General features: G+C 37.7%; 1 protein-coding gene across 19 annotated transcripts in view, besides 1 other annotated feature; it reads left to right on the top strand.

The window, feature by feature from the left end:
• Nucleotides 1-27,938, top strand: part of OSBPL8 (oxysterol binding protein like 8) — a 207,975-nt gene that overhangs the window by 72,662 nt on the left and 107,375 nt on the right. For 8 of the 19 annotated variants that reach the window (NM_001319653.2, NM_020841.5, XM_017018769.3 and 5 more), the window contains one exon: nucleotides 27,215-27,251. The exons of 3 other annotated variants lie outside the window; for them this stretch is intronic. In NM_001319653.2, the coding sequence (NP_001306582.1) occupies nucleotides 27,215-27,251 (37 nt within the window). Of the gene's footprint in view, nucleotides 1-1,023; nucleotides 1,076-20,621; nucleotides 20,661-27,214; nucleotides 27,252-27,938 lie in introns of those variants that run through there. 8 more of the 19 variants (XM_011537856.4, XM_047428249.1, XM_011537857.4 and 5 more) reach the window with 3 other exon arrangements.
• Nucleotides 15,382-15,461: an enhancer, noted in NCBI's record as "active region_6676". NCBI's record gives its function as "activates an Ori minimal core promoter by ATAC-STARR-seq in GM12878 lymphoblastoid cells {active_cell/tissue: GM12878}" and the evidence as "EXISTENCE:reporter gene assay evidence [ECO:0000049][PMID:35858748]".

Genomic DNA, 27,938 nt, shown 5'->3' with positions numbered 1-27,938 from the left:
TGCAGTAAGCCAAGATAGCGCCTCTGCACTCCAGCCTGGGCGACAAAGTCAGACTCGGTCTCTAAAAAAAAAAAAAAAAAAAAAAAAATGAAAATTGCAAATAGCTTAAAGTTTGTTGGAGCACACCAGTTTTCTGATATTTCTGCTCCATCCTCCTCCTCTTATTTTATCTATCCTTCCAGCCATATAGTGAAAGACATACTGATAGAATAATTTGTTTTCTCCCAAAACCTCTTTGTCTTAAGTGAAATCAAGAGAATGTTAACATTTGAGGAAATTAAATGCCTCCAAATCTCAAATCACATGCAGCTATGAGTAATAGTGGGAATGAAACAGTTAAAATAAGAGCAATTGCCACATATATTCTTTTTATAAAAATATAAAGATTTAATAAACATTTCTACCCTGTGATCATAATTGAATTCTGAAATTAAACAAGTAGTGGGTAGCAGGAAAAGTATACCTTACCTAATACATTAAAACAAAATCACTAGTAGGATGGACTAAATGATGATTTGTCATTTTTTTCTCACTGTACAAAAAGATTTTACTCCAGAATAATTTCATTTTCAATTCTCTTGTTGCATTTTGAGTGACTCCATTATATATTGATGTATAGACTCTTAGAAATATTTCTGTTACCTAAAGTAAAGGTGCCCCCTTCAGTAAAATGTAGTCAGCTGGTAGCTTTATCATTAGTTAGGTGGTAGATTCTTTAACAAATTTACATTGTTGGAATAAGGTAGAGCCCAACTTTTATGTCTTTTATATTGCTGTGGAATTGAGAGTCACTATTAGATTGCGGTGTTTGTAAATTTTAGTTTAGTGAATGTCCTTTGTTCAGGCTCCAGTGTAGGAACAGTCTAATGATTGATAGCAAAATGCAGTTTTGCTGACTAATATTAACTTGGTCCCAGCCTTTCTTGAATTCCTGGTTCAGTCTTGTTTGGGGTTCTTAAATGATCAAAAAAAGTTAAACTTTAAAATAAATTGTTAGTAGAGAAGAAAATGGGTGTGGAAATTCTTGGCTTATGAAGAAGGCTGTTGTCACATTGATTTAAATGAAAAACGGATGGTAAGTTACTTTATTTTTACTATAATTTCAGAAGAAAAGTTAATATTAAGCCTTGTCTGTAGAACTTAATGTTTATTTTATGATAAACTTTACCTTTTTTTATATCTAATGGACTTAGATTCTTTCAACTCAAATACTTTTGGTCTTCTAGTGATATTAAAAATATCAGTTGCTGTTTTTAAGTGTATGCTTTGTTAGACTGTCCTCATAACAGCTATTAAAGGTAGATATTTGTTTATCCTCACTTTTAGAGGTAGGGAAATAGGCTCAGAGAGGTTAATTATCTTCTCTAAGACTTCACAGCTTAAGCGATAGAACTGAAATCTGTCTGTCTCTGAATACTTTACTACTAAGATGTTGACTACATACCTATATTTCTGAATAAAGTGTCTTAAAATTTGTTGTTACTTTTCAAAGTATGTATCCAAGTAAATGTTATTACATTTTATTACCAGACTCCTTTGGCTAAAGTAATAAAGTTTTAGTCATTTCTGGAGTGCGGTGGCGTGATCTCTGCTCACCGCAACCTCCGCCTCCTGGTTCAAGCAATTCTCCTACCTCAGCCTCCTGAGTAGCTGGGATTACAGGCATGTGCCACCATGCTTGGCTAATTTTTTGTATTTGTAGTAGGGACAGGGTTTCTCCATGTTGGTCAGGATGGTCTCAAACTCCCAACTTCAGATGATCCACCTGCCTCAGCCTCCCAAAGTGCTGGGATTACAGGCATGAGCTACTGCGCCCGGTCTTAGTCATTTACTATTCCAAATTTTGTTGATATTGAGAAGTTAAAAGTTGTTTGAAAAGTAGTGAGAGGCCGGGCACGGTGCGTCACACCTGTAATCCCAGCACTTTGGGAGGCTGAGGCGGGTGGATCACCTGAGGTCAGGAGCTCGAGACCAGCCTGGCCAGCATGATGAAACCCTGTCTCTACTAAAAATACAAAAAAATTAGCCGGACGTGGTGGCAGGCACCTGTAATCCCAGCTACCGAGGAGGCTGAGGCAGGAGAATTGCTTGAACCTGGGAGGCAGAGGTTGCAGTGAGCTGAGATCGCGCCACTGCACTCTAGCCTGGGCAACAAGAGCGAAACTCCGTCTCAAAAAAATAATAAAAATACAAGTAGTGAGAACAGTTTTTCTTTTCTTGTTCATTAGGTTCCTTCTGTGAAATATTATAGCTAATTTTAGAGAAAATAATACCAATAATTTCAGTGTAAACTACTGAAATATTCTGTATTTGAAACTAACGTTGAGGTCCACTTTTGAGTTAACTATAAAATAATCACCTTTGAACTGCTTGGTCTAAGCTAGTTACTGTTTAGATCTGGGAGAAGTGGATCAGAACATGAGCTCTGTAAGACATTTAGCTACATGTTAAAATCTGAGCCCTGTCACTTAGTTGTATGACTTGGGTAGTAAATTCTCCAGGTTTCTAGTTTCCTTATAAATAGAGATAATTGTAATATCTACCTCCCAAAGTTATTTTCAATATTAATTGAGAAAATATGTCTATGAAGTGCCTATTACAAGGCTACACATACGTAAACATCCATTAAATAAAAGCAACTATTTTTATTGTTATTATAACTATTAATATTAAGCCTTCTCTACAAAAAGATAAATAATTAAAAGTCAGGAGAAGCCTGTGAAGATTCAGTGATTGCTCCACACTAGAGTAGTTGGAGAAGCTTTCTTAAGAGAACATAAACTTTGAATTGCACATGAACGTAGGGATCATAGGATTGAAAATGAGCAAGGAAACCATGCCAGGTGAGAGAATAGCAAGAGGCAAGGCTAAATATGGAATTAATTGCTCAGTTTATTCAGGGTATAATTAGTAAAAAATATTAAGGCAGGATGGAAGGAAGTGAGTGATGTTTAGAGGAATAATGATGGATATGCCAGATAGAGACCAAATTTATGGAAGGCTTTGAGTGCTAGACCAGGGATTTTGGATTTGATTCTGCAAGTAATGGTTTGTCATTTAGTATTTTTATGTAGATGAATCTGAAAGCAGTGTATAAAATGATTTGGAGGAGTGAATATTAAGAGAGTATTACAAGGCCGGGCTCAGTGGCTCACGCCTGTAATCTCAGCACTTTGGGAGGCCGAGGCGTACAGATCACCTAAGGTCAGGAGTTCAAAACCAGCCTGGCCAACATGGTGAAACCCCATCTCTACTAAAAATACAAAAATTAGCCAGGTGGCGTGGCGGGCACCTGTAATCCCAGCTACCCGGGAGGCTGAGACATGAGAATTGTCTGAAGTCGGGAGGCTGAAGTTGCAGTGAGCTGAGATCATGCCATTGCACTCCAGCCTGGGTGACAAGAGTGAAATGCTGTCTCAAAAAAAAAAAAAAAAAAAAAAAAAAAAAAAGACTATTACAGTGATCTTGGGGTGAGGTTGTGAAAAAAATCTGACTTTATTATTCATTTGCTTTCCTTCTTGAACATAATACAAATTTTTTTTTATTGAGACAGAGTCTCGCTCTGTTGCCCAGGTTGGAGTGCAGTGGCATGGTCTCGGCTCACTGGAACCTCCATCTCCCTGATTCAAGCAGTTTGCCTGCCTCAGCCTCCCGAGTAGCTGGGATTACAGGTGCACGCCACCACACCAGGCTAATTTTTTTGTATTTTTAGTAGAGACGGGGTTTCACCATGTTGGCCAGATGGTCTGGAACTCCTGACCTCAGGCTATCCATCTGCCTCAGTCTCCCAAAGTGCTAGGATTACAGACATGAGCCACTGCAGCCAGCCAATACTATATGTTATTTTTTGAGACAGAGTCTCGCTCTGTCACCCAGGCTGGAGTGCAGTGGCATAATCTCGGCTCACTGCAACCTCCTGTCTCCCGGGTTCACATCATTCTCCTGTCTCAGCCTCCTGAGTAGCTGGGACTACAGGCGAGCGCCACCATGCCTGGCTAATTTTTGTATTTTTAGTAGAGACAGGGTTTCACCATATTGGCCAGGCTGGTCTTGAACTGCTGACCTCATGATCCGCCTGCCTCGGCCTCCTAAAGTGCTGGGATTACAGGCATGAGCCACCGTGCCCTGCCCAATACTATATATTTTTAAAACACATTTGCTCACTTGTTATTCTAGTTGCATATGGTTCTATTTTTCTGGTAGTGCTGTTTGTCTTAGATGGCAGGTACTAAAAAGTATAGATTAAATCTATCTTTCTATATGTGGTACTTATATGCCACACAACATGAGAATACTTTTTAATATATGTCTAAAACTATCTTTTGAAAGTTTACAGTTTTCACTCTAGAAATTAACTGCTCAAAATGCTTTAAAGAGTCAAAGTTTTATGACCTGATTGAGGTAGACTAAAGAAGTGAAATATCTTTGTAGATTAGAGAAAATTGAATATGTTCCTCAACTTAAGGATAGTCACTCTATCTTGATTTTTTTTTTTTGAAACGGAGTTTCGCTCTTGTTGCCCAGGCTGGAGTCCAATGGCACGATCTTGGCCCACTGCAACCTCTGCCTCCTGGGTTCAAGCAATTCTCCTGCCCCAGCCTCCCAAGTAGCTGGGATTACAGGCATGCGCCACCACGCCCGGCTAATTTTGTATTTTTAGTAGAGACGGGGTTTCTCCATGTTGGTCAGGCTGGTCTCGAACTCCCGACCTCAAGTGATCCGCCCGCCTTAGCCTCCCAAAGTGTTGAGATTACAGGCGTGAGCCACTGCACCTGGCCTATCTTTTGAAGTATTTCCGAAGTATTATTTCTTTTATCTCTTGAAGCAAAGGAAACTGCTTCATAAGTTTTATTAGAGGGCAAAATCTTTTATTGTATTAAAAATTGATTTTATAAATGATTTTTTAGAAGAAAGCAACAATTTAAAAAATATGTATGAATCTTTTTTATGCTCTCAGTTGAGAAAATCTTTAAGATTCTAATTCAGGTTGGGTACCTTGAATCCAAAAGCTTTCTGAAGTGGAAGGAACTGCAAAAATGATTTAGTTCAGCAATTCTTAGAATATAGTCAATGAGTGTCTTCCTGGAGAGCCTAGAGATGATCCAACTTCCTGTAACTGATTTTTACATACTAGGTGAGTTATTCATAATTTAGATTTGGTGATCATAAAGTAAAATTGCTGTGTTATTAGAGTTTATTCAAAGCCTTAAATCGTATTCTAAGAAGCCCAGCTATCTATAAAAATTAGCAACATTTTAGAGCTTGTGCATGCAAATTAATGGAATTACACCACTTTTTGCTACAGCAAGTATTATTTTGAGTGGGTCACAGTTTTTAAATATTGCTGTTTTTGTCCTGTTATAAATACTATTAAATTAACTTCATTATTATGATTATTGATTTAGTGTATTATGTGGTATTAGTGATAGCATCTTTCTAACAATAGTATTCACATTTTTTTTATTTTTAAATTTTTGGCAGAGACAGGGTCTTGCTCCGTTGCCCAGGCTGGACTGTAGTCGTGTGATCCTAGCTCACTGCAGCCTTGAATTCCTGGGCTTAAGTGATCCTCCCACCTCAGCCTCCAGAGTAGCTTGGACTACAGGCCTGCCCCACTCTGTCTGGCTAATTTCTAAATTTTTTTTTAATAGACGCAGGGTCTTGCTATGTTTCCCAGGCTGTAACAACAATAGTTTTTTTATGTACAACTTCCCAATAATTGGCCTCTAAGGCATTTGTGCATTCAAGTTTAATGATAATTTATCCATATGCCAATTACTAATCCTCTGAAAGTATTGTTGTACAATAGCACTTCTTTAAATTTTACCGTTGGTCATTGTGCTCTTATCCTATTGCGACTGTAACAAATTGCCACAGATTTAGAGGCTCAAAACAACACAAATTTATTCTCTTAGCAGTTCTGGAAGTCAGAAATCTAAAAGCAAAGTGTTAGCAGGGTTGTTTTCCTTCTGAAGACTCTGAGGGAAGAATCCATTTTCTTGCTTTTATCAGTATCTAGAGAATGCATTCATTTTTTTTGGCTCATGGCCCCTTCCTTGTATCACTTCAACCTTTGTCTTTTGTTATCACATGCCCTGCTGCTCATTTAGGCCCTCTTGCTTCCTCTTATAAGGATACTTATGACTACATTGAGCTCAGTTACATAACCCACTCAGAAAATCAGATAACTGCCCTATATCAAGATCCTTAACCTAATCACATCTGCAGAGCCCCTTTCACTACAGAAGGTAACATTCACAGCTTCCAGGGATTAGGGTGTGGACATCTTTGGGAGGCCATTATTCTTTCCTCCAGAGCCAGTATTAACCTCTGGAGTAACCTAACCTATTGGAAGTGGGTCCTGTTGTTGGATAACCCAAAGTCTGTGGTCTGCCCAGGCATCTCACCCGAGGAGTTGCCAGCTAGATTGAAGTCCTAAATAATGAAAATTCTTAAGTTGCAGGGATCTCCTTATGTAAAGTTAAAATAACTGTGAAGATTTTAGTCACTAGTTTATTACTTACATTCTTATTTTCTCATGTTAAAATAACTTCATCTTCCCAACAGCTGCTTGCTAACTCTAACAGTTTGTATTAATCATACATACAAGATTGTTAATAGAAGTTATTCTTGAACTGAAATGGAGTAGTAGAACGTATCCCAATATACCCATTACTCATCTTCAACAATTATCAACTTGGATTGACATTGTTTCATCTATACTCCCACCTTCCTAAGCCAGAGTTTTTGAACAAATCTTAGATAAATCATTGTATTCATAAGTATTTACTGTCCGTATATATCTCCAAAATATAAAGACTTTAAAACTTTGATCATAAATACATTATTCCTAAAAATTAATAACTCTTTAGTCAGATAATTATTCAGTGCCTACACTTCCCTAGTTCTCTCATATTCTTTTTTTTTTTTTTTTTTTTTTTTGAGATGGAGTTTCACTCTTGTTGCCCAGGCTGGAGTGCAATGGTGCGATCTCGGCTCACTGCAACCTCTGCCTCCTGGGTTCAAGCGATTCTCCTGCCTCAGCCTCCCGAGTAGCTGGGATTACAGGCATGCGCCACCATGCCCGGCTAATTTTTGTATTTTTAGTAGAGACAGAGTTTCTCCGTGTTGGTTATGCTGGTCTTGAACTCCCGACCTCAGGTGATCCGCCAGCCTCGGCTTCCCAAAGTGCTGGGGTTACAGGCATGAGCCACCGCGCCCGGCCTCTCATATTCTTTTTATAGTAGGTTGTTGTGTTGGACTTAGTTGATAAGTCACAAGTCTTTTTGAATCTTTTAAATCTCTCCGATATCTGTTAATTTTTACCTTTCAATTTATTGAAAAAACACGATGGTTTATTCTGTGGAGTTTTCTACAATATGAATTTTCCCCTCATGGTGATGTTTAAGGTGTTCATCAGTCCCTTATATTTCCTGCAAGTTGGTTGTTAGAATTAGAGGCTTGCACAGATCAAGGTTCAAATTTTTTTTGACAATAATGATGTATAAATGGTGTTGTATGTAACCGTCAGGAGGCACATAATGTCTGATTCTCTCTCTTTATGTGGTAATAGCAACCATTGATGTTCATTGCCTAGATCTGTTATTTCGATAGTGGTATACATTAGAATTCTAATTGGGTTAGAAAAGTGGAGGCTGGAAAGAATGATTATGACTAGTCTGTACCTTTTGAGCAAGCAAACCAATCAACATACATTTTTTTAATGCAATAAAAATCTTCTATTTTAATTTTTAAAAAAATTTTGTGTGCATGTAGTGGGTGGATATATTTATGGGATATATGGGATGTTTTGATACAGGCGTGTAGTGCGTAATGATCACATGGATGATGGGGTATCCATCCCCTTAAGCTTTTATCCTTTGTGTTACAATCCAATTATACTCATTTAGTTATTTTAAAATGTACAATCCAATCTACATTTTGTTAGGTATTTTGTCTTTTGCCACTTTATAGCTTTATTGAAACTTCTATTAAAGGGAGACATTTAGAAAAGGTCAAAATAATTTGATAGGTATACTTTGTTATACTGAGACAGAGTCTCGCTCTGTCGCCCAGGCTGGAGTGCAGTGGCATGATCCTGGGTTCATGCCATTCTCCTGCCTCAGCCTCCCGAGCAGCTGGGACTACAGGCGCCTGCCATCACACCCGGCTAATTTTTTGTATTTTTAGTAGAGACGGAGTTTCACCCTGTTAGCCAGGATGGTCTCGATCTCCTGACGTCATGATCCACCCGCCTCGGCCTCCCAAAGTGCTGGGATTACAGGTGTGAGCCACTGTGCCCGGCCTGTTACACTTTGTTTACATCTCCATTACTTTAACTTCTGAAAGTTTTGTTAGCAGTACTTAAATATTTGTAATTGTTTGAACTTCCTAAGTGTGAATATATTGCTCAGTATTACCTATTGTGTGAGTACTAAAGATTGCATCTCATTATATCGTTTTTCTTTTTTTTTTTCTTACCTTATTAGATGGTTATTCTTGTTAGAGGCTTGAGTAATGTAAAAATCATTCAGGTATATAATTGGACTCTGTAGTAAATTTGGGGAGCCTCATTGGAGAAAGCGTTAGCTTTTTAAAAGAAAGAGAAATAACCAGTGGCATACAGAATGTAACAGCAGAATTCCCAGCCACACATCTTTTGTGTTTCTATTATTCTTGGAGATTTTCTTAAAGTGGGTTCCCAGGACTCTGAGACTCTCTAAGACCCTTTCAGAGAATCTGTGAGGGGTAAAAATTATTTTTTTTTTGTAATAATACCATGGTACTTTATATTATTTGTCTTTTTTATCCTCATGAGGGCACAGTAGAACTTTCCAGAGACCACATAAAACATGATGTCATTGCTCTGGTGGCTACCGGAGGGTGTGTTTGTGAATTCTTTTTTTTTTAGATGGAGTCTCGCTCTGTTGCCTAGGCTGGAGTGCAGAGGCGCAGTCTCAGCTCACTGAAGCCTCTGCCTCCCAGGTTCAAGCAATTCTTCTACCTCAGCCTTCGGAGTAGCTGGGATTACAGGCGCACCACCATGCCTGGCTAAGTTTTGTATTTTTAGTAGAGATGGAGTTTCACCATGTTGGCCAGGCTGATCCCAAACTCCTGACCTCAGGTGATCCACCCTCCTCAGCCTCCCAAAATGCTGGGATTACAGGTGTGAGCCACCATGCCCGGCCATGAATTCTTTTGTTTTCAATTTTTTTTTTTTAGTTTAATTTTTTCTAAGATATATATATTTTTAAATAAACTTTGTTTTAGAACAGTATTAGGTTTACAGAAAAATTGTAAAGATAATAGAGTTCCCATATATGTTGTACCCCCCCTTCGCCTATTAGGAACATCTTATATTAGTGTGGTACATGTGATATAATTGATGAACTCATGTTGATACATTATTAACAGAAATCCATACTTGATTCAGATTTACTTAGTTTTTACGTAATGTCCTTTTTATGTTCCAGGATCCAATTCAGGACGTCACGTTACATTTAGTTCTCGTGTTTCCTCATGTTCTTCTTGATTATGACCGTGTGTCAGACTTTCTTTGTTTTGAATGAACCTTGACTGTTTTGAGGGCTACTGGTTAGTTATTTTACATAGTATCCCTGAACTGGAATTTGTTTGATATGTTTTTCATGATTAGACTAAGTTTAATGGATTTTGAGAAGGAAGACCACAGAGATAAAGTGCCGTTTTCATCACATCATACCAAGGGTATATTCTGTCAGCATAACTTATTTTTGCTGTTGACTGTGATCACCTGGCTGAGGTGGTTAGTAAATTTCCCATTAAATTTGTTTTTAATTCAGAAAATATTACTAGGCATAATCCACATATACAATAGCTCTTTGGAGTCTTCAACAGTTTCTAAGAGTATAAAGGAAACTCGAGACCCAAAAGTTTGAGTTGGTCATCTAAGCCTTAAGCAACTAACACTTAAAGAAAGAATAATTGACAGCTGCCTGATATGACAAAAGGAACCAAGAAGATGAGGTTTGGGGGTGGGAGAGTAGAAGAAAGAATTGACAGGGCCTTTAAGAATAAGGGAGTGATACCAAGATAAACTCTGGCTTTTTTATAACTCTGCTTTATGTTGAGACAGGACCTCTACCTTTCAGCAGTTTTTTGACTTTGTTTCTTTCTTTTCTCATTTGGTCATTTAACAGATATTTGTTGAATGTCTGCTTACTTTTCATTAGTTTTAATATTTTGTCTGATTCATATCATCTGCAAATAATAGGTTTTTTTCCCTTTTTCTTCCATTCCTTATACAGTTGAGTCTGTGGTTTTATGAATGTATGTCTGGCGATGAGACTTGGGAAGTCTTTTCTAGAAAGGTATTCATTCTGTGTAGGTTTTCAGAATTATTTAAAATTTAGTGTTCTGTTACTATTTAAATCTTTTATGCCTTCCTTTTGCATCTCTTATTTTGTGAATGTGGCACTTCTGTTTCATTCTTTCATCTTGCTTAACTTATGTATATTTTCCATCTTTTTTCTTCCTGATGACTTCTTTTTGAATTACTTGATCATTCTTCTAGCTCATTAATTTATTATTGGATCATATTCATTTTGCTTTTCAAGTCTACTATATTTTATTTCTCTATAATATTTTTATACCCAGTATTATCGGCTTTAAAAATATTTGCTTGTTCATGCTTCAGTTTTATAATATCCTCATTTATCTTTTTAAACATGTTTATTAAGTTCTTGATTAGTTTGGTTCACTGATTTTCTTTTCTTTCACCAAGATTGTTCAGTTTGTTGTCTTTCACAGCACTTGGGCTCCTTAGAATATTATTTTTGTTTGTGAGCTTATATTCTCTTAATAATATTCTTCTGGGAATATTACTGCCTTGTCTGATACTGTCCTACATAGAAAGGTAAGAGCCCAGGGACTAACTTTTCACCATTTTGGTCAATCTAGAGAATACATGTCTTAGGGTAGAGAATCTTTTTTATTAAAATCATAGCTTCCACCTCATTTCCCCAGTTGCTTATATATTCTGTTTCTTAGGGAACTTTTCTTTATCTCTGTTCTGAGCACACTTCTTATCCATAAACTGTCTCCTCAGTTGTAAACAGCCCATTTGAGAGAAAGCGCAGTGGACGGTAGTAGTTGGCCTCTCTGCCTGCATTTGGTATGTGTGTACTGCAACAGTACTGCATGTGTGTACACGCACAGTTTAAAAGCAAAAATGCTTACTTAGGACTGTGTTTAATGCCTCTGTTTGGAATTAAATCATGTTTTGTGCTCATAGTAAAAACAGGGTGTTCAATGATTAGAGAGAAAAGAGCATAGAAAGATGGCTGGCTTCCAACCCTTCCTCCTGTTCCCTTCTCCTGGCCTTTCCTTTATCTGTGATACTCCACTTTCTCCATCTCCAGGGACGGGTTCAGGGGCTAGGGTCGGGTGGGGACTTGTTACCTCACTAGTAATTCAGTTCTTACTTGCAAAAGCAATTGGCTTCTTCTTTATTGGCTTTGCATTCTCTGTGTATAGAGAGGCTGAAAGTGGACCAGAGATTTAAAAGAACAGAACTGTTGCACAGTTAATTCATATTAAGATCTTTGTCACATGTGATACACAGTTTAAAAATTAAAAAATAGAACTATTAAGGGACCACCTGAAAAAACAGACTGTGTCATTTACTCAGTGTAGACAGTGAAATTATTTAACAGGAGAATAGTCAAAGCTATTTGTTTTGCTAATCTAGACTTTGGGAGGAGAACTGGCTTTAAATACTTATTATTTCCTTCAGTATCCATAAATAATGCAACTACTTAGCTTTTAAACATATGAAGGTTTTTTAAAAGTATTGTCATTTGCTCTTTCTCCCAAGTTTTAAGACATGCCAGAGCTTCTCATAAGTAGGATATAATTAAAGCTTAGACACCCACAGCTCCACATTTAACTCTTAATTAAAATGGTGTATGTTAAGAATCTTAAATTTAAGATTAAAATAAAAAAAATTCATGGGAGTCCCATAAAACCTCAGAAAGAAATGTGAAGGATTCAAATTTCAGCATATTGGAGATATGTGAAGATAAAATTTGGTTAAAAGTCCAACCAAATCTCTACCTGTCTTTCTAGTGACAGTAGAACAATAAAGAGATTTTTATCCGTACCTCAGCTTAGTAGGTTTTCATTAAGTTGTGACTGCTTCAAAAGTCACCGGTTCAGAAGTCAACTTAAGTTTAATAGGGTGAAAATAGCAGCAATGGAGCAAGAGCAAGCTTGGGGATTGGGTGATGAATTTATATGCATGTGTTTGTCTGTGTACACACATACATATAGACATAAAATTTAATTTCGGGCTGGGTGCAGTGGCTCACGCCTGTAATCCCAGCACTTTGGGAGGCTGAGGCAGGAGGATTGCTTGAGCCTGGGAGTTCAAGACTAGCCTGGGCAACATAGTGAGACCTTGTTTCTACAAATAATAAAAAACATTAGCCAGTCATGGTGGCATGTGCCTGTGGTCCCAGCTACTCAAGAGGCTGAGGTGGGAGGATCACTAGAGCCCTGGCGGTTGAGGCTGCAGTGAGCCAAGATCATGCCACTGCACTCCAGCTTGGGCAACAGAGTGAGACTCTGCCTCCCCCCAAAAAGATTAATATTATTTTTATACATATACACACAAAATTAAATTATATATATATATGTATGTGTGTACATACACAAGTGCGTATATATAAATTTATCCCCCCATCCCAAGCTTGCTCTTGCTCCATTGCTGCTGTTTTCACCCTATTAAACTTAAGTTGACTTCTGAAGCAGTCACAAGTTAATGAAAACCTACTAAGTTGAGGTATGGATAAAAATCCCTTCATTGTTCTACTGTCACTAGACAGACAAGTGGAGATTTGGTTGGACGTTAAATCAAAATACTTAAAAAATTTTTATGTTTTTTAAATTTATTTTATTTTATTTAAACATTTATTGGGTTCAGCAAACTAACCTACCTTCATTAAGCACATTCTACACATAGTACCTTCCTAGGTTCATGCCTATACTGTGTTTAGAGCAGGTTTTATTTAGGTCTTATGGGTAAAACTGTTGGCTGCATTAGGGGAATTAGTAGGAAATAAAGCTATTAGAAATGAATAATGACTAATGTTTATTAAATTTCTACTGTGTGCCGCCAGCTATTCAAAATGCCTTGCCCATAAACTCATTTAATCTTTAAAATAACCCTATGAGATAGATAGAATTACAAGGATACAGAGACAAGGACACACATCTAGTAAGTAGCAGAGCTGGGATACATTTTGGCTCCAGGGGTGAACCTTTAATCACTTTCCTATATTGCGTCTCTTTGAATCAGATCATACAGGGCCTTGAATACTACTTTTACTGTTTGGGATCTTTGTTGTTAACACAGTATGAAATTGTTGAAGATTTTGGAGCAGGGAACCAACCTGTTCGAGTTGTGGTTTAGGAATATCAGCATGGCAAAATTGTGGAGTATTGGGGGCAACCAGTTGAATGTTAGAGTTATCTGGGATGTTTTGAAAAACTGATGTACAGCTACATTCCTATTCAATTGAATTAGAATCTCAGAGGGTGAGTTGCGTATATTAGTACCTTTTAAAGTCCCTTAGTTGATTTCAATGTGCATCTAAGGTTGAAAACCATAGAAATAGAGGTGGTTAGTTCAGGGAACAAGTTAGCATGCTGTTGTGAAATCTAGATAAAAGGCAATTAAAACTTCTATGGTAGTGTGTGGGTGGCAAGCCACCTAGGTGCCCAGGCAAGAGACCGAGGGCACAAGCTGTTCCAGTATAATAAAATATATAAAACAATAAGAGTTATACTAGATCTAGATCATAGACATAATGATATATGAATATCATTAATCATTAGTTTGTAGCAATTACTCTTTATTCCAATATTATAATAATCCTCGCTCTATAATCATAACCTAGGAAAAACCAGGCCACACAGAGAGATAGGAGCTGAGGGGACATAGTGAGAAGTGACCAGAAGACAAGAGTGTGAGCCTTCTGTTATGCCCGGACAGGGCCACCAGAGGGCTCCTTGGTCTAGTGGTAACGCCAGCATCTGGAAAGACGCCCGTTGCCAAGCAGACCATGGTCTAGCGGTAGCGTCAGTGTCAAGGAAAAACACCTGCTACTTAGCAGACCAGGAAAGGGAGTCTCCCTTTCCCCGGGGGAGTTTAGAGAAGACTCTACTCCTCCACCTCTTGTGGAGGGCCTGACATCAGTCAGGCCTGCCCACAGTTATCTGGAGGCCTAACCGTCTCCCTGTGATGCTGTGCTTCAGTGGTCATGCTCCTAGTCCACTTTCATGTTCCATCCTGTACACCTGGCTCTGCCTTTTAGATAATATTAGCAAAATTAGTGAAAATACTAAAAGTCTCTGATATACAGAAATAATGGTGTAAGCTGTCTCTCTCTCTCCCTGTCTCTCTCTGCCTCAGCTGCCAGGCAGGGAAGGGCCCCCTGTCCAGTGGACACGTGACCCACGTGACCTTACCTATCATTGGAGATGGCTCACACTCCTTACCCTGCCCCTTTGTCTTGTATCCAATAAATATCAGCACAGCCTGGCATTCGGGGCCACTACCAGTCTCCGCGTCTTGGTGGTAGTGGTCCCCCGGGCCCAGCTGTCTTTTCTCTTATCTCTTTGTCTAGTGTCTTTATTTCTACAATATCTTGTCTCCACACACAGGGAGAAAAACCCACCGACCCTGTGGGGCTGGTCCCTACAGTAGTGGTAGCAGAATAGAAAATATGTGGAAGGAATTAGAGATGCAAATCAGCAGGACCTGGTGATTGATTGGATGTGTGGTTTCAGGAAGATACTAAAGACCAATTTTACATATATTAAACATGTAGAATCTTAAAAATGATGTTAAGATGGTGGTATCCTCATCTTACAGATGCAGAAACTGGGATAAAGAGAAATTATATAGCTTTTCCCGAGCTATACGACAAGTAGACGATGGAGTCAGGACTTGAACTCAGGCCTTTGCATATCGAATTACATTTTCTTTCTATGAGTTTTAGGGCATTATGTGTTTAGCGTTAATTCATACTGGATGAGATAACATTGTTATAGATGACCATATACGATGCAGAGGGGATCAGAAGAGTCAGTTATTTGAGTGGAGTTGAAAAGTCAGTATCAAAAAAGTTTTTTAAGACAAGGTAATGCTTAACCTGAGTGTTGAAAGGAACTTAGGTATTTGCCTGGTGAAGGTGAGAATGGCATTGTAGGCAAAAGGAGCTGTGAGAGTAACAAGTAAATTGTTCAACAACATGGTATGTTTGAAGAAGTGAAAGTCATTTTCAGTTTGTCACATTTGTGAAGTGTAGGATTGATGGGTGTTTGGAGGAATGCATGACATAAGATTGACAAAATTGTGAAGAGCCTTGAAGATGGGGTTAAATGTTTTTCTCTCCAATTTTGGTAGGCTGTGGGAGTGCAGAATCATTGAAGTGACTCAACCATGTTGTTGAACAACTTTAGAAGGCTCTCTATGATATCGGTATGGAAGATAAATTGCTTAAGTGTAAGAAATTCAGGTGGCAGGTAGTAGCAGTAACTGTGGATATGAGAAATAAAGGGTAAATATGAGAGACTACGTAGAGCTTTAGGACCTTGTCCTGGACTTAATATTAGGAGTGGAGGAGAATATAGATGAGGAAAATAAAAGTGAAGGAGAAATTTAGAGCGACTTACAGGTTTCTGTGTTGTGTGATTTGGTGGGAGGTACCATTCCTTAAGGGAGAAAATATAGGAAGAAGAGCAGGGGCAGAGAAAGGGAAGATGAAGTCGGTTTTGGACATACTGAGTTTGAGATGTGTATCCAAGTGGAGGTGTACAGAGGCTTGGTGTCCCATACAGTTTCTCATTTAATCCTTTCTATAATACTGTAAGGTAGATGTTACTCTGTTTTTAAGAGATGAAGAAACCGAGGCTCTGAAAGGGTAATTTGCATAAAGTCAGTTAGCCAGACAGTGGGCAGCACTAGGATCTAAATGTAAATATTCTAATTCTCTTATTCTTATTGAAAGAGAGGGCTTTTTTTTGGGTTATAAACTCATCTATATTACACCTAGACTTTTAAGCATCTTTTTAAAGTTGTTATATTCATTAGTTTTTATATTCATTACCTAATATAATTTTTGGTATACATTGAAAAATATGTGATACGTGATCTGTTTTATTTAATCCAAAGCTTTATTTTCCTGTAACTATTAATAATTTTGACTTTTCTATCTAGGCTGAATATTTTGACATTTGAGCACCATGTAGTTGCAGAGACATGAGGAACAGTTGCTAACTGCATTCTTATGTGTGGTAGATTGATGAGTCATGGGGGTTGACGTTTCCATGTTATTATTAGCAGTCTTGCCTGTGGCTTGATGCTGTGCAGTGTGATATACTAATCAGTGATTTGTTAGAAATGGAATAGAAATCTAGAAGGAATGAAGGTATTTTTTTGCAGCTCTTATGTCTTAATTTAGATCTCAGTCATGATTTAATCTAGAATGTAGGCTCACATATCTCTATATAAGCATGCAAAGAATTGGCCAAAATGAAATTTCAAGTAAGATGCTTTTATTTCAGATTGACAATTGAAATGCGTGAAACAGGTCGTAAGATGAAGCATCAGACACTGAAATGTTCATGTATATGCTGTCTCATATAACCAGTTCTCATATCACCTGGCATGATTATGATGTGATAATATGGTTTCGGTTGTGCTATTTCATAACCTTTTCAGGCAACTGTGGCTCGTTAGGCCAGATTTAGAGGAAAATGTTAATGAAGTCAAAGCTCAAGGTTATAGCTTTAATTCTTTTAGTGGGCAGTAAAGTTTTTCTGGTTTCCTAACCACAGAGTCCGCCAGCAGTCTCACCAGATGCATGCCATTAGTTACAAGTGAAAATCATATTGGTTAATTTTGAGCTTCTCTTGTATGTGAAGACCTTGATAAAGGAGGTTGGATTAATCATGGCAAGAGACCACCAGTGCCAGAAGAAATGTAATTCATGTTTCATTACCAAAAACTGATAGTGAATCTGTAACAATGTTATTTTATGCAGGACAGAACTATTTAAGGAAAAGAATGAGGGAATTCTTAGTGATGGAATTTGGGCTTATCAGATGGCCAAAGACTTTGCTAGGTATTAGGGTTATAATCACTAAGCCTTTTTTTTTTCTTTTCTTGTCTTTATTCATTCAGTATTTGCTGAGTGTCCACAATGGTGCCAGGCTCTGTTCTAGTTTTAAGGAATATAGCAGTGAACAAAATAGACAAAATTCCCACTTCAGTGGAGCTAACATTTCAGTAGAGAAAGAAAAAATATATAAATATGAACTGTGTTACGAGATGATTGCTGTGACGAAAAATAAAGCAGGGTAAGAAGGATAGAGAGTAACAAAATAGGGGATGATTGCTGTTTTGGGAATATTATGGAAGTATTGTGATGAAGTAGCTTTTGAGCAGAATCCTAAAGGAAGTTTTCTAGGCAAAAAATAAGAACTGAGTGTAAAGCTTGCATATCTGTTGGGCAGACGGTGGTTAGTCTGTAAGCGTTTGGGGTTGTGGGAAAGGGTGAGTGAAGGGTCTTTCCTCCTACTCAGGAAGGTGGAGGTACAGAGTCAGTGTTGCTAGGAACACATGGAGCTCTGTGGGCTCTCCCCTGCAATCCGACCTGATAATAGAAAGATGCAGTGACAAGACAGATGGAATATCTATTTGTTATGCCTGCAGTGGGAGGTCAGGAAATCCCTTATCAAGGATGTCATGCTTTATATAAGAAGAATGAATTCACCAGGAGAATCATTGGAATGGCCTTGAGGGTCTGCAGCTCAGGAGTGGTTAAGGTAGGAAACTGATTTGGGGAGTTAGTGAACTGAGCTCTTTAAAAAATCAAGTCAATGGAATCACATGGGGAAATCATGTTGAATGGAAATAAGAGATTCTAGGATGCAGAGAGAGGGAGGAGAAAGAGAAAATAGGTTGGAAACTAAGAGAGGACAGAGTTTTCAGAAAAGGAGTGGTCAGCAGTGGCAAATGCTAGAGGTGTGGTCAGTGTTAGGTGAGCTAGGGAAAGGTAAGATTGTGCTAGACCTGAGTTGTCTGATAGTATAGCCACTTCCCACATGTGACTAATTTAAAGTTAACCTAATTAAATTAAAAGTTCTTCCTTAGTTTTACTAGCCACATTTCAAGATTTCAATAGCTACATGTAGGTAGTAGCTACCCTGTTGGACATTACAGATACACACTATTTCTATCGTCGTAGAAAGTTCTATTTGACAGCACTGTACTAGACCATTATAATGGTGGAGAAAAGTTAAATAACAATTGAATTATTTATTTATTTGTATGGCAAGAGAGACAATACTGTGAGATAATTATGAATTATCAAAGAATTCACATTAGAAAGTCAGAGTTGGAGAACGATAACTTTAGCTTGAACATAGGTAGCAGAATTGGCAATTTGAGCTCTCAAGGTGAGGGGTTTGTTGAGTGTCTGCTATGGCGCAAAGCTCTGTTCTAGTTTTAAGAGATATTGCAGTGAACAAAATAGACAAAATTCCCACTCCAGTGGAGCTAACATTTGAGTGGAGAAAGACAGAAAATACATATAAAAATTTCAAGCTATTGAGTAGGAAAGCAGAAACAAAGTAGGGAGAAAATTACAGATCACTTTAAGCAATCAGTTTTACTAGACAGAATTTTAGCTAAGTGGAGTTTGAGTTAAGTGGAGATGTGAGACCATCTCATAGAAAATCATTATTTCTGTGGGATGGATAATTGGGCCAAATTGTAAAATATTTTAACTATCAGTGTTTGGGGTTTATTTTTAAAAGAATAGGGTGCCACCAGATGTTCTTTAGTGGAGGAGAAATGAGGCCAGAGTGACTGCCTAGAAAATTAAGTTGGTAAATTAATCACTTTTTTCTAGGTCCTTTCTTAGTCTTTGTCATTTGTTTTAATAATAAGTAATTCTGCCTTATGTCTATATACTGATTTTCAAAACAAATTTATATACAATACTCAGGTAAACTATTATTAAGCCTCATAACAATTCTAGAAATTTGGAAGGTTTAATAATTAGTGCATTTACAAAGGAGAAAAAGAAACCTCACAGAAAGAAGTTAAGTGGCATGCTAATGATGGGATAGCCTGAAGAATGGGTAATGTTGGGTAGACTGGAGATCACTTATCTTAGTGTTGAATAAACCGTAATACATACTGTCTTCTGTGTATGGTGATCTTGGCAGTAGGGACTATGTTTTTATCATGTTTTTAAATTCTGGTATGTAGCATAGTAAATGAATGAGTGGGCTGAGACTGCATGCAGGGACATCTACCAAAAGGGAGATGCAGAAGTTGACACATGAGGTGATGTGGGTCTGACATAGGGGGCACTAATGGGAAGTGAAAAAAAAAAGACTGAATGTGAAATAGGCACCATAGAGGCAAAAAAATCAGAATTTAATAATTTAATCAGATGTTGGGGGAAATGTCTCAGAGGAATCAAGGGTTTATGCCTGAGTGTTTGAAAGAAAGATGGGCAAATCAGTGTGGAAGCTGGTTTCTGAGAGAAAGCTGATTACTATCTCTGATACAAAGATGTAAAGCCCTTCCTTTGTTAACATAATTTTAGAACTAGAAATTAATATGCAATAATGTCCAAACATATAGGTAGAAATGTTTTGAAGTTTTGGAGATATGCTAGGTATGAAGAAGAAACTAGGAAGTTATCTGAATATAGGTGATAAATGAGCCTTGAGCATCAATGGAACCTGCAGGAAAAGAGCAGGTAGAGGAAGAACAACAAATAGTTGAAGCTGAGCACTGGTAATGGCCATTCACTTGCTGAATGGGAGGACAATGTGTGGAGGCAGGAAAATAGAAGGGAAGCCAGAGCAGAGGAGTATTCTTAGAAACCAAAAGAGGCTTACATGAGAAGACTGATACATACATAAAGAAGACTGATACATACATTTAAAGAAGACTTTAAATACATAAAGGAAGGATATAAAGTGTGAAAAACTACCAGGCCAATGCCAGAGAGGACTCCACAGGTTGGCAAATTAACTGTAATTTCCAGATGACTCAGGATTAAAAAAAGATTTTTTTTTTTTTTGAGACAGAGTTTCGTTCTTGTCCAGGCTGGAGTGCAATGGTGCAATCTTGGCTCACTGCAGCCTCCGCCCCCGCCCCCGGGTTCAAGCGATTCTCCTGCCTCAGCCTCCCAAGTAGCTGGGATTACAGGCACCTGCCAGCATGCCTGGCTAATTTTTTGTATTTTTAGTAGATACGACGTTTCACCAGGTTGGCCAGGCTGTTCTCGAACTCCTGACCTCAAATGATCCACCCGCTTCGGCCTCCTAAAGTGCTGGGATTACAGGCATGAGCCACCGCGCCCAGCCTGGAAAAAGATTTTTAAAAAAGGGTTCAATTTTCAGTGTAGAAGTAATATTGCACCTTTTGAAAAATAACTATTACTTAAAAGATTATTGCACCGCTTAATTTATTTGATAAATTCTGGGTGCTCTCTAGATTCAGATTTAAGTATATGAGATTAAATCACTCCCAAGAAAATTTGTTTTCTTTTTAGATATTGCCATATTCAGAAGTTGCTGAAGTTCAAGAGACAGTGAGTAATATGTGGTGCTGTGTGGGACATGTTAACATTTTTGCATCTTTTTAGGATTTCAAGTTGGATTCTTAAAATGTACTTCCCACTATACTTAATCATAGATAATTATGTCATAATAAGAAATAAGCTAGTGTAGATTGAAAAATATCAGTTAAAAACTTTATATTTTTTTCAAAATGTAAATAAGTTCTTTTTTGACTATAAAAATAATGCATACTAGTATGCCATATTTAAAAAATACAGAAAAATATAAGTAAAATCCTACCTCCTAAAGTTAACTACTGTTGATATTTTGGTGGCATCTTTCGTAAGTTTGTATGTGTATAAGAAAATTTATAAAAGTAGGGTCATATCATACAAGCTTCTTTATAACCTACTTTTAAAAGCCAATATATAATGGATTTTTTTAGTAGGTGGAAAAATGAACTTTTTTTTTTTCTTTTTTGAGACAGAGTCTTGCTCTTTTGCCCAGTAGTGCAGTGGTGTGATCTCGGCTTACTGCAACCTTCACCTCCCGGGTTCAAGAAATTCTCCTGCCTCAGCCTCCAGAGTATCTGGGATTACAGGCGTGTACCACCACACCCAGCTAATTTTTATATTTTTGGTAGAGACGGGGTTTCACCATGTTGGCCAGGCTGGTCCCAAACTCTTGACCTCAAGTGATCCTCCCACCTTGGCCTCCCAAAGTGCTGGGATTACAGGTGTGAGCCACTGCACCTGGCTGGAAAAAGAAACTTTAATGACTACATGCTTGCTATTTCATTGTGTGAAGGTATTTTATTACCCTGTTTGAAACAGGTTACTTCTTTAGATTACTGTAAATGGTGTTGTGGTAAATATCCGTGGACACATCTTTTTATTTTTATTTTATTTTATTTTATTTTTTTGAGACGGAGTCTTGCTCTGTCGCCCAGGCTGGAGTGCAGTGGCGTGATCTTGGCTCACTGTAAGCTCCGCCTCCCGGGTTCATGCCATTCTCCTGCCTAAGCCTCCTGAGTAGCTAGGACTATAGGCGCCCGCCACCACGCCCGGCTAATTTTTTGTATTTTTAGTAGAGACGGAGTTTCACCTTGTTAGCCAGGAAAGTCTCAATCTCCTGACCTTGTGAACTGCCCGCCTCAGCCTCCCAAAGTGCTGGGATTACAGGCGTGAGCCACTGCACCTGGCCAGACACAGCTTTTTGAACATTTTGTATGATCCCCTTATTAATATTCCTAGGAGGGGAATTGCTGGATCAAATGTGCGATTAGGTTATTTTTAAATATCTGCTTGGCAGGCCAGATAATATTCTTTATCCAACAGTGATAAGCTGTAGTTCCGAGACAAATACTCCTTTAAAATCTCTCCCATGAAACTCAAGGGTAAAATGTGCACAAGTATATTTTGCAGATGATTACAGGAATATTAAAAATTCAGCTAAGTGTAGAGTGATGACTCCTGTTCGAAGAACAGACAGTTCTCAGCTGCACTATATAGCTCTCTCTGAAGTTTGTTATTCTAAGGGCCTATGATAACGCTAAATAGAGCACTCTTCAGATGTTTTGTATACTCTTTCTGAATTGTAGTTTCTTGGAGCCAGCTGCAGTAGGATTGCTTCTGTAGCAACTTGATCAACTTTATTGGGTGAAAAGGTGCCAACAGCTACATCAGTGCTTGATGAGCTCTTTGTCATGAGTCAGATGACTTAAATCAAGCCGTGATGTATATTAAGAGGGAAGTGCTGTGCCAAAGGGATGGAATCAAAACTATAGATTGCGTGGGATTACTTCATTATTATTAGGGTGGCCTTCCAGTGTGGTTTATTTGAGACTGAGAAGTTTCCCAGGATGAAGATGTTTATATACCCTCAAGATTGCTTGTTTAATGCTAATTATAGATGAGGTGGCAAATATTTAGACATACAATAAAATAAAATCACTTTTTTTTGCATTGTGCACTATTTCTGAGATTTATAGACTAAAATTAGTAAATATTTGGGTAATGGCTATAAATATTTCATGCTTTTAAATACTTTGATAGTATGTCTGAAACTTTTATTACTGATATATCTTATCGATGTACTTATAACAAAATTAGATAACTGTGTGGACATTGTCTGTGGGACAATGGTAAACAATAACATACTCAAATGGAGTCAATTAGAGAAACTGTTGCTTTTTAGAGACAGGGTCTCACTATGTTGCTCAGGCTGGAGTGCAGTGGCTGTTCACAGGTGCGATCATGGATCGTGGTACACTGCAGCCTTGAACTCCTGGGCTCAAGCAGTCCTCCTGCCTCAGCCTCCCATGTAGCTGGGGCTACAAGGCGCCCATGATGACCTTTTTCTGAATAAACTGAGAAGCTGTTCTTGGATTCTCTGAGATTCTAGCTCTATTTAGGTTCTTTAACAAAAACCAAGAAGAACGCCTAGCATTTTACTTTTTAAATATTGTACAAGTTAATTGTGTAGAGTGGTTCCACATCAATAATTTCACATTGTTTTTATTCATGTGTTATACAACATGGTACTATACAAATTTGACCCAGGTCCTAGAAGTGGTAAGAATAAGAAATTAGTAGTGTGCAGTTTAGCCATGTGCAGAAGACTTCAGTGGTATACGTTACTTTGTAAATTTGATATGTAATCCTCAATTACTTATATCCTGTTTCCCATTGGCATCACTTACAAGCAACTCTGGAAGGATGATTTCACTTGACTCCCAGTTCAGTGCTTTTGTATCCATATCCTTTTGAGGAAGTTTTCTGAAGCCATGCTTATTTTTCATTGTGTTTCAGCTTTGCATTTGCAGTGCTTGAGTGTGATTCTTAGTTGTGTTGTCCATTATAATATATGTTTTTCTAGGGCCTGTTCTTTTATCCCATGGCATTTTTCAGTCTCTTATGATTAAGCCATTCAGGTCATATAACATAACTCTCATACATAATTTATATTTTTCTTACCAGCCTGAACCTTTCCCTATACAGATTTATATATCCAGCTGCTTACTTGACATTTCCACTTGGATGAATGTCTGACATGCATTTCAAACTTAATTTGACCCAAACTGAGTTCCTTATATTTCTTCCTGTAAACTAGCTGCTCTCACTATCTTTTCTGTCTCAGATAATGAAAGTCCCATCCTTCCAGGTGCTCAAACCCCAACACTTGACATCATTTTGTTCCTGCCTTTTTTATCTCACATTTGGTCTATTTGGAAATCTTGTTTGCTCTATTTTCAAAATATATTTGGAACTTAGCTACTTCTCATCACCTTCACTGCTAACACTTTGGTCCACGATTCCCCCTCTCCTAGATTATAGTGGTAACCTCCTAAGTGATTATACCCTTGTCTCTCTAGTCTGTTATCAACATAGCAATCAGAGTGATTCTGTTAAAACATAATCAGACTGTGTCAATTCTCTTCTCAAAACCATCCAGTGGTTCCCCATCTTATTCAAAATAAAACCAAAGTTTTGACTAGACCCTACAAAGTCCTATACAACCTGACATCTGTTTACCCCTCTGACCTCATCTCCTACTACTTTCCTATTTTTGCATTGCATTCCAGCCTCATTGGCCTTCGTGCTCTTCCATAAACATTCCAGACTTGCTTGCATCATAATCCTGTACACTTGCTCTTCCCTCTGTCTTTCATACTTTCACCCTGTATGTTGTTATGCCAGGTTCCTTCATCTTATTCAGTCAACTCTGTATTGAAGCCTTCTTAGGCCAACCTATCTAAAATTTTAACTCCCTTTCCCTAATATTTTTTGTGTTCCCATTTGTTACTTATTTCCCCCCCTAGTTTTTATGCTATATATTATACCATGAATTTTTACTTAACATTTTTTATGTTAATGTTCATCTGTCTTACTAGGACATGAGTACCAAGGGCAGGATTTTTGTCTGTTTTGCTTACTGCTATGTCCCTTGGTGTCTAAGTGATATATGTCAGCAGTAGTTACTAAGTAAATATTTGTTAAATGGATGAATGGATGATTGGAAAAGATGATGTTTGTTTTGATTATTGTTCAGTGCCTCAACTTGAAAAAAATAGGATTGATCCAATAGAATCAGATTTGTATGACACAGACATGCTTGAGGATAATGTCGAGACTAACCATGCTTGGACATTTTTGGAGCAAATATTTAGTAGTTGTATATGCTAAGGATTATTTTCTGGGAGTAAAAAAGTAAGGAGTACAGCTGTATAGCAGTTGACATAGTGCTGTTAATTGACAAAATATGAGAATATAACAGAACTGTACAATGAAAGTTGAGCTTATTAATCTTTAAATAGAAGATGAACTGTAAAACCTTCAAACATGACTGGCCTTGTGAAATTAAATACTCGCAGCCATGTATACACACAATTAGAACCACTGCTTTCCTTTAGGAAGTTACTGATAAATCTAGGGAAACGATGCAATCATTTATATCAATTCAGGAAGATCTTAGAAGATGTCTATGAAGCATTTGTAAAGTTTGCCACAGTTGTTTCTGTCAGCTTAACTTTTTTCCAGTTTTCCAGTGTTATGTTATTTATTGGTACACAACAAACTATCTAAAAATTAAGTGGCATAAAACAACAAGCATTTATTATCTCAGATTTCCGTGGATCAAAATCCAAGAGTAGCTTAGCTAGAAGTCTCTCACTCAGTCTCTCATGTGGTTGCAGTCAGGATAGTGGGGATTGGGCATTGCTGCAGTCTCAACTGAAAGACTTACTATGCCGGGCACGGTGGCTCATGCCTGTAATCCCAGCACTTTGGGAGGCTGAGGTGGACGGATCAGAAGGTCAGGAGTTCGAGACTGGCCTGGCTAACATGGTGAAACCCCGTCTCTACTAAAAATACAAAAATTAGCTGGGTGCCTGTAGACCCATCTACTCAGGAGGCTGAGGCAGAAGAATCGCTTGAACCCGGGAGGTGGAGATTGCAGTGAGCCGAGATCACACCACTGCACTCCAGCCTGGGCAACAGAGCGAGACTCTACCTCAAAAAACAAAAAACGAAAGACTGGGGATGGAGGGTGGAGTGGGAGATCTGCTTCCAAGTTCACTTAGTGGTGTTTGCCGACCTCACTAACACCGTAGTTCTTTCACCTAGTGGGCCTCTCTACAAGGCTGACATATGAAGTGACAGTTGGCTTTCCCCAGGGTAATCTATAAGAGATTGAGAAACTGCATGCAAGATGGGAGTCACAGTCTCTTTATAATCTAATCCCAGAAGAGACATCCCATCACTTTGGCTGTATTCTGTTCATTAGAAGTGATTTAGGGCCTGGTGTGGTGGCTTACATCAGTAATTCCAGCATTTTGGGAGGCAGAGGCTGGAGGATTGCTTCAGCCCAGGAGAATATAACTTTGCCAACTTTAGTTTGTTTGTAAAACCAGAAGAATGAGATTAAATGGGAAACTGCACAAACATGAATAGAGCAAATGCCTTCAAGGCATTAGAAGATCATTTCAAGTATTGTAAAAAGCCATCACTTAGGGAAGGAATAGGTCCAAGATTTTATTCAAGGAGGTGACAAAAGCCCAAAGCAAACAACTGCTAACTTGTTTTGTCACAGCCAATTAAGATCCTCAGGTCTCTTTAAGACCAACAAATAATGTAATTATTGGGAACTTTTTGTTTCTGTTACTGCATTTGTTTTGGTATGTTACTGCATTTGGTATTTAAAATGAAGGAGAGCTGAGAACTCTGTTTCTACCAGAACCAAAGCACTTGTCCATGGGCAACATTTAGAGTAATTTATGTTAAAATAGTTACTAAACAAAAGGTCAGCAGACTTTTTCCTGTTTCTTTTAGTTGATTGCAAGTTCTTCATTCAAGGGTTGGGTCTTCTGACTTCCCAAAGACCATTAGCTCCAAATACTATGCTTGATTTTTAGTGGGCCCTAAGAAAAGTTTGTCTGACTTAGTAAAACTTCTTTCTAATTAATGTTTCTCTTTTTTTTTTTTTTTTTGCCAATTGAGAAAGAATTTGTTCTACTTTGTTGATGCCTCTGTAGATGCTCTTCACACAATGCTTGGCATGTAACAAGCACTCAATAAATGTTCCTTACTCTTTTGTAGAAGAAACATACTAAATCTCTTTGTAGTGTTACGTGCTTTCATGGCATGCAGAACTAATCTTTAATAGTGCATGGGTGTTATATAGTTTTAAACCACCTTAAATTTAAGGAATGCATAACTTGGCTGTCTCTTAAATTTCTATGTAATTTTTACCTTTACTAACATATCTTGAATTGTAATTGAAAGTAATTTTTGACTTAATTTTCAAAACAAAATACTTAGGTGATCCATTTTTCTCTTACCACCTTCATTTTCTAAAGATAAAACAAATATTTGATACTGCTTAATCCAATATCTTTTTTTGTGTGTGGAAAAGGAAGTTTCTTGTAAATTATTACGGTTATTACTATTGATGTGCATGTGCTTTCTACTTATAAACTAATGCTATTTTCCTTGTCCTTTTGTTTCACTGCTGTTTCCGTCCTGATGCATTTTGCTTCTTCCTGATTTGGACTGTATTTGTTTGCTGCTCAATTACCCTGCCTTAAAAGCTTCTTGGTGATAGCAAAGATGTCCTTGGGCCATCAAGTAAGTAGCTGAAGCTTGAACGGCATGTTTGGGGACATGATAATATTTTGATGTGTGATTATTATGAAAGGCAAATGGTGTTTCAATTTTGAATTATTAAGTGTTCTACTTTTCTTTCCAGGAATTGAAATATAAAGTAAAGAATATAAATGGTCATTTAGTACCCAGTGCCCCATCTGTTCTCATTGTCCATCTGAGATTCATAGGCAGTGTTTGTATATTTACATCTTACCTAAGATGCATTATTTACTTAATTATCTAACTCATAATTTGGGACCTCTTCTTCATAGTATTTCTTTCTACAGTTATCACATGGCATAGATCTAGCACAAGGATTTCACTGCCATATGAAAGGGAGAAACACTTTTATTTTGTCAGAATTTTTACATAATAATTTGATTACGAAAATTGTTTTATACTTTGGGTATTTTATAAGTGAAACATGTTTTACCTTAGGAATTTAGAAGATGTATCCTTGAAAATTATATCCAATTCACCTCAACACATTTTACTGAGAGTTTTTTGGGGCAGGGAGTGGCAGCCACTGCCAACTTTTGGAGGTACATAATGAATAAAACATGATTCCTGCCCCTAAAAATTTTTATAGTCTAGCTAGGGAGTAAGAGGGGCAATTTTTATATTAAAAATCATAGAATTGCTGAGGTGAAAGGAACTTCAGAAATTATC

The sequence above is a fragment of the Homo sapiens genome, chromosome 12, assembly GCF_000001405.40.
Source record: "Homo sapiens chromosome 12, GRCh38.p14 Primary Assembly".
In the NCBI taxonomy this organism is placed as follows: domain Eukaryota; kingdom Metazoa; phylum Chordata; class Mammalia; order Primates; family Hominidae; genus Homo; species Homo sapiens.
The sequence above is the reverse complement of the archived record's forward strand: the minus strand, read 5'-3'. Positions and strand labels throughout refer to the sequence as shown.